The 15,084-nt window shown below is 41.9% G+C and overlaps 1 protein-coding gene across 5 annotated transcripts in view; it reads left to right on the top strand.

The window, feature by feature from the left end:
* Positions 1–15,084, top strand: part of PUDP (pseudouridine 5'-phosphatase) — a 442,316-nt gene that overhangs the window by 95,147 nt on the left and 332,085 nt on the right. For 3 of the 5 annotated variants that reach the window (NM_001178136.2, NM_012080.5, NM_001135565.2), the window contains one exon: positions 2,535–4,087. The exons of the other annotated variants lie outside the window; for them this stretch is intronic. In NM_001178136.2, coding sequence (NP_001171607.1) covers positions 2,535–2,711 — 177 coding nt within the window. In that variant the 3' untranslated portion in view covers positions 2,712–4,087. Of the gene's footprint in view, positions 1–2,534; positions 4,088–15,084 lie in introns of those variants that run through there. 5 annotated transcript variants of the gene reach the window in all.

Genomic DNA, 15,084 nt, shown 5'->3' with positions numbered 1-15,084 from the left:
TTTTAAAAAGGCAAGGGCAGAAATATCATGAACAGGTAGTCACTGAATGAGATAACAGAGAAAACCAACTTGGACAGTCTAAGTGGAGTCATTTCTTCTCGCGTCCTACGGTGACCAGTGTCTCACAGGAGAAAGAAACCAGGGGGCATCAGAGGCTGTTGGAAGGGAGGTGTTGGGACGGACTACTGTGGCTTGCCTGGGACTGTCCAGGGTGTAGCACGGAACATCCTGCCCCACAGCTGACCCTTCAGTTCCAAGCAAACCGAAACAGCTGGGCCAACCAAGTTCCCTCTGTGAAAGTAAGGTAGCATTCACATTCCATTGTCACATGGATTAACTCACTTAATCCAGGGTTCAGCCCTGTTGGGATAAGTTGGCTAATATGATATTTTAGCCCCAGATTGAAGGAAAGAATGGGGTAATGGAAAGAAAAAGGGAGGGAGGGAAAAAGAAAAAAGTCATTGTGCTGGCTACAGCACAGACCACTAGTAGTTAAGACTGTGTGTGTGTTTCAGTGTTTTCTACTGAAAACGCCAAAGAATGCAGAGCTTCTCTTTCAGACCTGGCATCAGGCTTCCGTGAGCCCTTTCCAGGACACCAGTGCATTGAGTCGCTGCTATATACCTGGTGATGAGCCGAAGAGGACATTTTCATAATGAAAGGCAAAGGGGGCCAGGTGTGGTGGCACACACCTGTAATCCCAGCACTTTGGGAGGCCGAGGCGGGCAGATCACTTGAGTCCAGGAGTTGGAGACCAGCCTGGCCAACATGGTGAAACCCTGTCTCTACTGAAAAATACAAAAAAAAATTAGCCGGCTTGGTGATGCATGCCTGTAGTCCCAGCTGCTTGGGAGGCTGAGGCATGAGAATTGCTTGAGCCTGGGAGGTAGAGGCTGCAGTGAGCCAAGATCGCACCACTGCACTTCAGCCTGGGTGAGAGAGCAAGACTCTGTCTCACCAAAAAAAAAAAAAGAAAATGCAGAGGGACAAAGGAGACAAAGAAGAGATGAGTGGAGAGCTGAAAGGCCCCACCTCAACAACTCCTGGAGTTCTAGGCCACATGTGGAGAAGAGCAGGGGAGACTCCTCAGCATAGGTCGCCATGGCGAGGACCTCTCTTCCCTTACAGATGTCTGGGCCTCTGCAGAGTCTCAGTTAAAAAGCATCAGTACATCTGTTTTCACATGAAGTGTGTGCCATTCTAGGAATGCAGGGAAGAAGCTTCCTTCCTAAGTGTATGTCTTCCTGAGAGGGTCGGTGATATGAAGATAGCACATGTGGATTATGCTTGTTTATACTATGGAGCAGGCTCTGGGGTGTCTCCTTTGGAGGGAGCCCTCATGTGAAACTTACTGTAACATTGTCAATGTGGTGGCACCTTTAGGAGCTCACTGATAAATGCAGTGTACAAACACCCCATTTTATGTATTGGTTTTTCTTTTAGTACTTTATTTTTTTCCTTTTTAATTTTAATTTTTATTTTAATAGTCTGTAGGGTACAGGTGGCTTTTGGTTACATGGATAAGTTCTTTAGCAGTGATTTCTGAGATTTTAGCACACACGTCAACCGAACAGTGTGCACTGTACCCAGTATGTAGTCTTTTCTTCCTCACCCCGCTAGTCCCCAAAATGCATTATATAGAATTCTTATGGCTTCCCATCCTCATAGCTTAGATTCCACTTATAAGTGAGAGCATACGATATTTGGATTTCCATTCCTGAGTTACTTAGAATAATGGCCTCCAGCTCCATCCATGTTGCTGCAGAAGACATTATTTCATTCCTTTTTATGTCTGAGTAGTATTCCATGGTGTATATATGCCTCATTTTCTTTATCCGCTCATTGGTGGATGGGCACTTAGGTTGGTTCCATATCTTTGCAGTTGCCAGTAGGAAACACCCCATTTTCAATGTGGGTATCTGAATGAAGAGACCACGGGTTTTGGATGGTGTTGTGTCTGTAATCCCAATAATAAAGTGGATTTTCGCGATTATCCAAAAGAGAGCATGCACGCACACTACGTTTTCGTGCTCATTTGTCACGTCACACTAGCACACACAGGAACTGAATTTTTAACTTAAAAGATTCTAACCATTTAATTTTCAAACCACAGTACATAAAACAGGAGCAGCTCTGAAGTGGTTTTATATTTTAAGAGCATGATTTTTAGTTTTGCAATTGCCTCTCACACTCTGAATGTTCAATTATTGATTGAACAGATTGTTATGATCCCAATAAAATAATAAAGTTTTAAGCTGAGAATCTTGCCTCACCACACAGCTGCGCTCCATTTCAACAATGCTTTGGCTGCAACAGAAACCTCTCCCCTTTAAAGGAGCCACGGCGGGGAGACCCCCGGAGCCAGTAAGAAACAGCATGCTGTCCTCACCACAATCTCTACTCTGGGGAGCCCCCACTGTAATTCTGTCTCTTTCTGCACAGTTGCAGAGCCAATGGTGACGACGATAATAAACACTTCATCCACATGTCTGGTTCCATAAAAGGCCATCTCGACTTTCTTTTTCTTCCTACAGTGCCTTGTCTTTGAAGATGCTCCCAATGGGGTGGAGGCGGCCCTGGCAGCTGGGATGCAGGTGGTCATGGTTCCTGACGGAAACTTGAGCCGAGATCTGACAACAAAGGCCACCCTGGTGCTGAATTCCCTGCAGGACTTCCAGCCCGAGCTGTTTGGTTTGCCCTCCTATGAGTGAGAGGGAGGGCCTCAGTCTTCCGCCCCCAGCCCACTCTCATGGTCCACACTGCTGGGGGAAAGGGAAAGGAAATCAGCAACTCTTCAATCCCAACCTGCGCTGTGATTTTAGCCTCCTGAGATTGGAGTTTCCATCCCATGTTGGTTTGTCCCAGTCTAACGTGTTGATAAAATGTGACTTGACGGTTGAGACAAAAAATACAGTAGAGACAGAAACGAAGCCCAGAACAAAGATGAAACTTGAATTACCATCTCAGAAGTCAAGCTGATGGAGTATGTGATAAAGTGAATGTACATGTATATACACACACACCTCCATATATACATGTGTGTATCAGTTTGGTAATATGCAGGTAGGCATTACATGCATATGTATGTAGACATATGCATGCATGTATATGTAAAATATATACTTTTCCAAGACAAAATGGAACATCACTTCTCTCTTCTAGTTTTTCTGAACACTGGCTGGGAAATGTAAACTGTGTATGCATATAAGTATATGCTTTATGTATGCATATGTATGTAGATATGTTTATATCTATCGTCTGCATCACTCTCCTCAGTGTTGATGTCAACATGCAATGACAACTGATAAAGCGAGATGGTAGTTCTGCCTGGTTTGCAGTCTGAGTGGGAAAGTCCTGTTTTTGATGAGCACTCCTTGTTAGCTAACATTTAAATTCTTTTTGTGACCTCAGAATGTCTCTGGATCTTTCCTCATTGACTGACTCTGTGCCACGTCATCCATAGTTTATTGTTAGTATGAACACAACTGTAACATTTACCTGGTATCTACATCCTTACCTGCATTGGAAAATGTTTGCTACCTCACAACAACCATTTGCCTCCTTTAAGAACACTGATGGGCTGCACTTTTTGGATAGAAATAGAATTTGATTTCAGAATGTATGCTTGGTGAGTCTCAGTGCCCAGGAACACTTTTGGAATAATTTATCAGACATTGAACTTCTGTGATTAATCGCTTTTATAGATTTACTCAGTCTTTAAAATTCGTCTCTGATTTGCCAGAGAAAAACGGTGGTAGCCATGGAAATCGGGAGTGAAGGAGCACTGCTTCATTGTGGCTCAGCCCTTCCTAGGGGCCTCTGCCCTTTGATGTCCTTGAGCTACTCTTCAGCTCTGGAAGTTGTGGACAAACCGTAGGAATGTATGTGTGCGTGTGGTGGAGTGATTGTCTGTGAATGACAGGCCCTGGCTATTGATTGATGTTGCATCAATTTAGCAAATTCATTTCCTCATTCTTGATGGCCTGAATATATGTCTGCACTTTTAATGCTCCTCTTAACCAGTTGTAACATCTTACCATTTCCCTAACAAATTGAATTAGTTTAATAAAATCTTTTGACACATGTTGATATTTGTATGAGAGTCATGATTTTACCTTAAAAAGAAAAAAACAGTCTTCCAAGAAATGTAAAATATATATGTGACTAATTAAATTTTTTAAAAATCCCAATTAGTACTCCAACTGTAAACGGATATTTATATATTTTAAGTGAGCCGTCCTGCTCCTGCAGTGGTGAATAGAGGCTTTCAATGAAAGACTTACTTCTTTGATTTAGTATCTTCTCCTTCCCAAGTATTTATGTTGGTGTTTTCTAATCATTAAGCCATTTTGTATGAATAAGACAAATGGGTGTAATGCATATCTAAGTGATGTGCATCTACATCTGGGTGAATTTCCTACAGGGTAAATTTGATCTCATGTCCGTTACTGTTTTTTAACCAAAGCTGCTGCCAGATTCTTATATTTTTAGACAAAGGACACACACTGATGCTTGGCCAAAGCACATACGTTCTTTTTTATTCTTCCACATTAGCCAAATTGCTTCAATACATTTTAGTGATGTTACTCCATTGAATAGCTCATGGATTTCACAGAGATATGGTAATACAAATTTACACTAGAGTGATACATGCCAAGGAAGTTTAAAGAGTAATTATACTTTCATAGCTCATTGAAAGTATGTCGTATTAGGGACACACAGTGATTAGTAGAATGTATACAGGTGTGCTGTAACTAGCAGCTAATGTTTGCTTATATATTGTGTGCCCCTAGGAAGGACCTGTTATACTGCTGATATCATCCAAGAGATGGCGCTATCAACGTCATCTTAATTTCACTTAAATGAAACATACACAACACTTAAGAACTTACTGATTACTACTTATTAGACTTTTTTTCCACCTCATAAATCCTCAGATGGAGTTTGGTGTTTTATATAAAAAAATAATCTGGAAGACACCTGTCTTATACTTGAAAGAATCGGCATTCTAAGGAATAGGAGTGATGCTGCTGTGCAACAGTAGTCAGTGTCTAGACACTGCAGTTTATATTTCTTTGATTACATTTGGCAGTTATGCTAAATTTGGCACATTTTATATGGTGTTTCAAAATTTTAAAAAACGTGCACATTAGAACAAGTTTTATAATGAAAAATAATGAGTTTTCACCTATCTGTAATAATGCCTCTGCAGAACATTGTTCTGTAGTCTGCACTGTACTCTTCTGCTCCACAAGCAGTCGGCTAAAGCTCCTTGGTCTCACATGAGACTCTTTGTCTCACAAGCAATCTCTAGAACTATTATCTTCTAAAAAGAGAAAATGAAGTGTTAAAGAGCAAGGGATATTAGTATCATTTCAAAGTCTGTAGTATTCTCTGGTGGTTATTGTTGGTTGGAGAGACTTGCTTTACGAAGATGTTGGTGAGAATATTTGTTGGCTGAGGAGTACACGTTATCTCTGAAAGCAGATCTTCAGGATGGCTCAAAATATTCTGGTTCTTTATGAGTCTCTTGAATAGATAATATTTTGTACACATAAGCAATATTATTTTTTTCTCCTTCATTAGCCACACAATATTTCCATGGATTGTAATTGTTTTCATCAGAAAAACTGTTATCCAGATAGAATTAATTCAGGAAATACTGTTTACTTACATGACAGTCATTGTAGATGTACAAAACTGAATAAGAACATAACTTAGGGTATTTTGTCTGTTAAACTTTAGTCATGACATGTTGGGGTTGGTTTCGAGATCTTTTTCCAGCACCATGGAAAACACAAGGGACAGAGAGAAATGTTGGAATTCGCAGTGAGATCATTGTGTTACCTGTTCCGATTTAATTGCTCCTCAAATTAACTACATTTTTTTCTGTACATCTTTTGACCTAAGTTGTTTGTGAAGGATTAAGTCGTTGCCTCCCTTTCCTTGGTTCCCAACAGTATGGCAGGGGCTTCTCACAGAGTCCTTTTGAAACTGTAAAACTATCACCCTTGTATTAAAGCATTGGATATTCTTCATTGCAAAATGCCCATAATTTTCAAGTTCTACGTTAATTTCAACAACATGGTATATGAAATGAATTTTTTTCATGAAAATATTTTCAAATATTTACCAAAATGTTAATAATTATTTCTCTAGGGGACAAAATGTATTTTAAAAACTACTTGAGAATTTTAATATTCCCTAATCTCTGAGCGAAGATGAAGGCTTGGGAAGCATGAAGTCATATTCATTCACTGCTTATTTCAAAACCGTGTGAAAGGGATGGTGAATTCATCCTTCACATAGGCAAAGTCACTTAAAATGATGTATTTTCAAAATTCACTTTAGGAAAGAATTGGCAGTATTCCATATTCAGAGTCAAAATAAACTGAGAATAAATAGATAAATATAAAGAATACCTATCTGTTTGTAAACCAACAGTTAATACTGTACATAGTGGTAAAATAGTCATTCCATTTAAAAGTCAGAAATGAACTGTCTTAGTCTTTTCCAGCTGCCATAACAAAATACCTCAGGCTAGAGTATTTAAACAACAGACATTTATTCTTTCACACTCCAGAAGCTGGAAGTCTGAGATCAAGGTGTGGGCAGGGCTGGTTCCTCCTCAGGCCTCTCTCCTTGGCTTGTAGACACTGTCTTCTCCCTGTGTCCTCACATGGTTGTCCTTCTGTGTATGTGTCTGTGTCCTCATCTCCTCTTCTTACAAGGAGTTCAGTCCTATTGGATCAGAGTCCACCATAATGACCTTGTTTAACCTTAATTACCTCCTTACAGGTCCTAGCTCCAAATACAGACACATTACGGTGGTTAATGAGCTTCAGTGTAGGAATTGGAGGGAGGTGGAGCAAATTGAGTTCATAATACAAACAAAAAAGAATTTTCACTATCAATTTTAATTATCATTCTTCTAGAAACTCCAGTCAATGAATAACATCATTTAGTGTTTACATATATGGATCCGATGATGGCAAATCATCTCAGTTGTTTGTCTCACAGTGTCTGTATTTGACTTTCTTTTCAAGGATGTTTTCACTGCATTTCACTGCATATTCAATTCCAGTTTAAGAGCAATATTTTTTCATCTTTTAAATATGTAGCTTTCTTTTTACCTGACTCCTGTTTTCCATTGAAAAACCAGCTCTTGGTGCTGCAGTCACACCTTTAAGGCAGTCTCTTTTTTTCTAGCTACCGTTCAGGTTTTGCTCTTGATCTTTGGTCTGTTGAGGTGTGGCTTACTTTGTGTTGATCTTGTTTGGACTTTTTAGATTTCCCTGGGGCTCTGCTTTGTTTTATGTATGGCTAAACCTCTCAGTCATTATCTCTTCGAATATGCCCAGGCTCATCTCTTAGGGTCACTTCCACACAACCAAACAGAAAAAAAGCAAACTCCAAGCAGTCCATATAAGCAGGAAGTCATGCCCAGGCATGGGTTATGCCACCAGCCAAGAGGACAAGGGGACGACTGGGGAGCTTGAATCTGAGCATATGCACCTGGAAAGAGTTAGACTGCAAGCTAGACCAGAAGCCTGGCATGCAGATACCAGCCAGGTGGAGACCAACCCCTCACTGCCAGGAATCAAGTATGTTAGTAGGGCAGAAATCCAGGAAACCCAGAGAACCAAAAGCCAGCGTGTATTGGTCTGTTTTCACACTGCTAAAAAGATACTGCCTGAGACTGGGCAACTTATAAAGGAAAGAGGTTTAATTGACTCACAGCTTTGTGTGGCTGGGGAGGCCACAGGAAACTTACAATCATGCTGGAAGGAGAAGCAAGTACCTTCTTCACAGTCAGCAGGACAGAGACTGAAAGAGCGAAGTGCCAGACTTAAAACCATTGGCTCTCATGAGAACTCCCTCACTGTCATGAGAACAGCATGGGGGAAACCACCCCCATGATCCAGTCACCTCCCACCAATCCCATGTGGGGATTACAGTTTGAGATGAGATTTGGGGGGGGACACAGAGCGAAACCACAGGGGATCTGTCAGGCCCAGGACAGAACACCCTGAAGGGTACCATTCCTTTACCACTACTCGGGTGCATGCTATTTGTCTCCCATGAAGGCAAAACCAAGAGCTGCTAAGCCCACCAACCAATAGAAAAGTGCTTACCTAGCAAAGAAAGGCACAGACGAGATAGTTGCTGAAATAGGGAAAACTCACAGGAAACAGTTAGTATAAAGTATTCTCATATGCTGATGATCATTTGAAAATGACAAAATAACTCTAAATTTCTGCACAAGTAGGTCACCTACCACTTGTCATTCTAATCCCACACTAGGCACTTTAAGAACATGCGCCCCTGGGCTTTTGCTACACTCTTTTCTTATGTTGGTACCCACCTTGTGGTGACTGAGGGTACTCTTAATATCCCCAAGTCTGAGGAAACTGGGGCACAATTCGATTATCCACTTATGAAGTGGTGAAGCTATGGATTAAACTTATAAGACATATCCACTTCACACTCCAGAAAACTTCATCATTCCCAACATTATTGTCTTCAACCATTGGGAAAGAAATACTTTTCTTGGTAATTAGAGGAGAAAAGGTGTTTGGTGTTTCATTGTCACTTTCCTGGTGTAGACCAGATACTTGCGGGTCTTTCCTAGGGCCAGTGAGTCCTAACATGTTTGAACATCTACCCATGCTATTTAAGGCAGCACACCAAACACATTCCTGCTTCAACTGCAGTATCTGTTTCATCAAGAGTATTTTCCTTAAATAAGTTTGAGATGCCTACTACTTGGGGAAATACTAAGCCTTTGGTATGCTTCTGCTCATCTAGGCATGAAACGGCTCCCTCATTACTTTGGTCTTCAGTTTTCTGAATCTGCTTCTGGAAAACACTGCAAAATGTCATTTTTGAGAACTGCTGCTTTGCAAATACTTTTCATGCCTATGTGATGTGCTGTTATTCTCTCTCATTTCCTTGCTAACATACAGTCATGTTTATGAAGCAAGTTATGAGCCAGTTAAGACTGGATCTGAGTCAGTTAGATTTGCATGCATTTTCAGCCACAGTGCAGGTTCCTAAAAGTCATCACATGTCTAGTCTCAAAGTTCTTATAGAATAGCATCTGATTATTATTAAGTAGATTTTTTAAGGCCTCTCAAGGATAAAGATCCGAGGTGTTATATCCATTGCTTTCCTCCCTCACACTGTTTTTGACTTTTAATTCTTCCCTTTCTCCACTTTAATTTCTTGTCTCCCACTGCTAATTCTCCATATAACCCATCCCCACCACCACCACCCTCAACAGCCACCAGTGAGAATTCTTACTACTTGAACTTCACTGTGACAAAAATCAGCCTTGGACCTGTGGGCTAAATTGTTCCAAGAGTCCTGATGAAGTTCTCAGATTCAGGCAAAGCTAGGTCTCCTGATACCCTGTCTTAATCAGTTTTGCATTGCTATAAAGGAATACCTGAGTGAGGCTGGATAATTTATTAAAAAAAGAGGTTTATTTGGCTCACAGTTCTGCAGGCTGTACAAGAAGCATTGCACCAGCATCTGCTTCTGGTGAGGCCTCAGGGAGCTTCCACTCATGGTGGAACGGGAAGGGGAGCTGCTGTGTGCACAGATGACATGGTGAGAGAGAAGAAGCAAGAGAAAGAGGAGAGGAAGGTGCCAGGCTCTTTCTAACAATCAGCTCTTGTAGGATTGAATAGAGAACCCACTCATTACCATGAGGGCAGCACCAAGCCATTCATGAGGGATCTGCCTCCATGACCCAAACACCCCCCTATAAATCCCCATCTCCAACATTGGGGATCAAATTTCAACGTGGGTTTTGCATTTTCCTGTAAACTCACGTGCTGTGCACTCCCTCATGTCATCTGTGAATGATCACCTGCCCCAGGACTTCTTGAAGGAATAGCTCAAATCATATTCTAAGAGTTCTGGGGGTAAAAAAGCAAAAACTAACTCTACTGACTCCCTTGTTTGTCTCCCACTGTTTATGGAGGGTGGCCGGTGTTCACAGCCCTCTGCCAGGCATCGCAAATACAGAGGTCAAGGAGATAGACATAGCCCTGCCCCCGTGGAACTTGTAATATAGTTGGGGAGACATATGAAACCACTGCTCACTTAAAGGTCTGATTGCCAATTATTACACAGGCTAGCAAGGGAAAGAACAGAGTCAATGACAGAACGGCTCTGGGCACCTAACTTAATTCAGGTCTTGTAAGGCCAAGGAGTGGGCCTCACTGCAGAAATGGCATGGAAGGTGAAATCAGGAAGCAGTAGAAGTCCAGTTTCTGAAAAATTAGAACACAGATTCATCATACAACCCAGCAATTCTACTCTTTGATGTCTACCCCCCCCAAAAAATGAAAACATATGTCCACCCAGAAACTTGTACATGCATGTTCACAGCAGCTCTATTGATAACAAAAGGAGGAAATGACAAGAAACTACCAAAAGAGAACAATGTGAAGGGCTGGGTGGAAGTTGGTTCTTCAATGAAATCTCACAAATTCCAGTGTTTCTAGTACTTCTTACCAACACTTACTTGTATTCACCCTAATTAGCTCATGTGAAAAGGATCTTCCTGTATTTCTAACAAGTGTAATTTGGAGAGTAGATAGATCTCAGGTGAGGACTTTGGAGCATGCCAAATGAATTAATGGACTCAGTCCATTTTCTAACTTAACATCACTCGCTTACTTAGCAATACGTGACGTTGGTGAGAAGAACCAGCAGAGGACACAGGAAGTAGAAGATGAGCTCACTTCTGTCCATGATTTATATTGCATTTCAGTTTATGTTGTCATTGGAGACTCAGTTTGTGAAGGTAAGCCAATCTTTGCCTTGAGGAAGATATACATCTTTAGGGGAAGATGGGTCTTACTAGATGAAAAGATAATAAATGAAAAGAGGGAGAAGGGAATGCATGGTGGCCCCGACAAACCAGAGAAGACAATTACATGAACATGGACGTCAACCACCAAATGTTGTACAGGTCAAAAAGGAAAAGCAAAGGACTGGAGACCAAGCAGAAGGGCTCACACCCCTACCAGCTACTCAGGAAGATGAGGCCGGAGGATCTTTTGAGCCCAACAGTTTGAGACCAACCTGGGCAACAGAGTGAGACCCCTGTCTCAAAAAAAAAAAAAAGAGAGAGAGAGAGACTGGGAAGTAGAAGCTGAGATGATATGAGGGTCACCTGTGGCTTGGACAGGATTAATGCAGGGACCATTGGAGATCAGAGACAAACTGGAGAAGGTTGCACTGAAGAAGCAGAGATCATGAATGCAGAAAGCTTGAGAAGTTTTTCCAATCAGGAAAGCCAAGACATGGGTCTGTCACTACAGGTCAAAACGGAGCTTGCAGGGAGTCATGCAAAAGTATTTGTCTCTTTTGAAGTTTGCTGTGACATGAGGGATTCAAAGAGAGTTGACAGAGGAGGGGAAGCTTTTAAACTCCAGATGATGAAAGAGCTCAGAAAGGAATCTTAACTTTCTTCCAAAGGGGATGAGATGGACAGAGTTTAAATTTCTCTTTCAAAAAATGATGCCTTCGAGGGAACAGTAAGAGGAGAGCAGGCTAAGAGGCCAGCCAGGTGGACGAAAAGCATGTTTTTTTCACTTAAATTTGTGCAGTCCTGCAAATGTAACACAGCCAGATAATTCCAGAGCTCCTGGGTCACCGTTCCCTCTATCTTCTCAGACCCCACTCAGCAGAAGAGATGTTTGTTTATGGCCCCGCCCAGGAAGCAACTGCAAGCTCCTATGACTTCAGCATTTGAAAAGTACTTCAGATCCAAACTCTCGCTTCCTGCCCTGAACGGAGCTCATCCCCACTCCCCTGTCACTCTGCATAAGATTCCAGGGTGACATTGTGAGACGTCGTCATTAATCTCCTTTTAAAAATGCAAATCCCCTCAGAACATGACTCTGCTCATCGCCTGTTTAATCAGATCGCTTCCTTCTCATTTGTAGCTGAGAAGTGCTTTGAAGAGGGAAGCAGGGAAGAGGGCAAGGAAAGAAGGGGAGGATGAGAAGCAAAGTACTTTTGAAGAAGAAGCACAGCAGGAGAGGAAGTAGGTTTGAGTGGGTACTTGTTAGGACGCTGGAGAGGTTGAGTGTAACAGGCCAGAAAGAAAGAGGGAGCTAAGAACAGGGGTGTCAAGAGATGGGGAGAGGGGGTCTTAGGAAGGGGATGACAGTAGACAGCATGATGTCCCGAGCACTCATGTCTGTTACTCAGTTCTTGGGTGGAGGAGGTAAATGTGCATGTGGGAAGACAGGATTAGGAAACTACCATCTGAGCTGTCGGGGGCCTTTCTTGAATATCAGAGGAGCCCAGTACCATTCTTAAAAGTAGAACGCTGCATGCATTCTACAAAATTCAAGCACTTATTTTCCTTGCACAATTCAGGGCCTGCTGTCTTCTTTGAAAACTCAGTGGCGCCCCTACTGTGGGCAGCACAAATGTAGCAAGATCAGGTTTGGAGAGGAGCATCCCTGTACTCTCCAGGGAAGAGTGTCCAGTGTCTGGAGGCAAATCACTGTGACTGTTTTTTGTCCCCCTGCCCTTTCCTGGGACACTTCCCCAGGGCAGCTTTTCCATGTGTGAAGAGCCCTGCAGTAGCAGGCACTTGGCTGGCTCTTTTCTGTGGTGGGCACAGATTGGATGGGAGTAACCTGTCCTGAACCAGCTCCTAGAGCAGACCCCCAGCTCCGGGTAGGCACAGGTGCCCAGACATGAGGGTCTGCATATGAGGGTGATGTTGTGTGGGTCCAGCTTTCCAGGGGAAGCAGAATTGGGGCCCAAGTTCATAAAGAATCCCACCCCCACACCAGTGCCCAGGGTGGGGATGCAGGCCAAGGGGCTGACCACGGGTGCTGGGAGAGTTCTTCCATGCTGAATTTTCAGCCTTTGTTTGGATAGAGAGTTATATGAAAATGGCAGATGTCTGTGTGATGGTCCCTTACCTGTGAAGGTCAGAGGTGGTGAACTCACAGAAAGAAACCCAAAATTCTGTTTTAGGATTGGAATGGTTAGTATTCCTCCTCCTAACCCAACCATGTTATGGCCTGGAGGGCATTTTTAAACATTCTGTGCCATTTTCTGCACTGATTGGAGTCTGCATTTCTCCCGAAGAATGTCAATATTATGCCCCCAAATTAGACACTTACTCATAGCAGCACCTATAAAGATAAAGTTTTGAACTCAACACTGGATAGTCATTTCCAAACCAACATTGTTATACATTATTTAAAGAAAGTCTTTGCACTCCCATTAGGCTTCTTGGGCAGCCATAACAAAGTCCCACATATGGGAATGCTTAAACAGAAGAAATTGTTCTTACAGTTCTAGAAGCTAGAGGTCTGAGATCAAGGTGTCAGCAGGGATGGTGCCTCCTGAGGCCTCTCTCCTGGGCTTGTAGGTGGTGTCTTCTCCCTGCATCCTCACAGGGTCATCTCTCTGTGTGTGTCTGTGTCCTCATCTCCTCTTCTTGTAAGGAAACCAGTCCTATTGGATTAGGGCCCACCCATGTGACCTCATTTTACTTTAATTTCCTCCTTAATGACCCATCTCCAAATACAATCACATTCCGGGTACTGGGTGTTAGGATTTCAACATAAGAGTTTTGGGGTAGGCGTGGCACAATTCAGTCTGTAACATTTCTGTTATATAATGCACTTGTAAATATCAGATTAATTTTCAAATAAACCTTGTTGATGGTTGCTTCAAATCTGCCTTTCTTTTAAAAATATCTGTTGTGAGATATTCAAAGGAAAACCTTCCTTCATTAGAAATGAAGGGACACACCTGTAATCCCAGCACTTTGGGAGGCCAGGGCAGAAGATCGCTGAGCTGAAAAGTTTAAGGTCAGCCTGGGCAACATAGGGAGACCCAATCAATACAAAAAAACTTAAAAATTAGCGGGGCATGGTGGCAAACACCTGTAGTCCCAGCTACTCAGGAGGCTGATGCAGGAGCATCACTTGAGCCCAGGAGTTCAAGGCTGCAGTGAGCTATGATTGTGCCACTATACTCCAGCCTGGGCAACAGAGCAATACTCCATCAATCAATAAATAAATAAATACAGAAATAGACCCCATCTCTAAATAAATAAATGCATACATAAGTGAATGAATGAAATGAAGGAACAATCCGAGGAAAGAACGATATTCATCCCAATGGGATCTTGAGCTCTGAGTAAACCTAGGATTTTCTTCCATCCTTTAAATGTATGACTTTTTTCCTATAATTTCCTTTTTGCTGTTTTAATAGAAGTATATAGTAACATGAAGTGACTAAGTAATATGTATTAATTTCTTCCCAATCACAATGGTATGAGTTTTGAGAATAATATTGGTCTATTTATCAATTTTGAGCTTTTTTTCCCTACCCATTGCACTATACTACTGGGAAGAATCCCTGTTCTTTTTAAACCTTTTAGTTTGTTTACATCAGTCAAATGCTACAAGCAAGAGGTATCAAAACTAGTGTCTTTCTGTAATCTCTCAGAAATCTACACACTTCACCTAATTTTAATTATTTTTAAGGATTATATTAAGCATCATGAAAATGAAAAGAACCCCCTATGTGTTCACTGTTGGGGGCTCTGAAGGTGATTTATACAACAAATCAGAATCCTCTTTCGTGTATTGCCAGCCTACGTCACATAGCCCAGATGGATGCTCCCTAATATTTCATGTAAATATGTGCTATGCTCACCTGGGCCAAATGTCTGCTCCACTCATCTGGGCCAACATTTTGGGAACTCCCAAGAGAAGGCTTTCTGCACAACAGCATGTTGAGCTCAAGTGGGAAAAATGTACTCTATAGCACAGATAAAATGGGAGGGAAAGAATAAAATGGAAATTAAGGTAAAAGGATATATATATATCTGCATCCTCTGGTGCATTTCAATCAAATAGCTTAGAATTGAATGTGGCTGTCTATATAAGCAATCTAATTGTTTTGGATTAAAGAAAAAAAATGATGGCTATATACATCATTCTCATAGAATTACAGTTCCTCATCAGGTTTGTTCTGTAGCTCCTCATCCTCATTAACAGCATTTTTGCATAGTCTGTCCTTATATAG

This window comes from Homo sapiens, chromosome X (assembly GCF_000001405.40).
Source record: "Homo sapiens chromosome X, GRCh38.p14 Primary Assembly".
Classification (NCBI taxonomy): domain Eukaryota; kingdom Metazoa; phylum Chordata; class Mammalia; order Primates; family Hominidae; genus Homo; species Homo sapiens.
The sequence above is the reverse complement of the archived record's forward strand: the minus strand, read 5'-3'. Positions and strand labels throughout refer to the sequence as shown.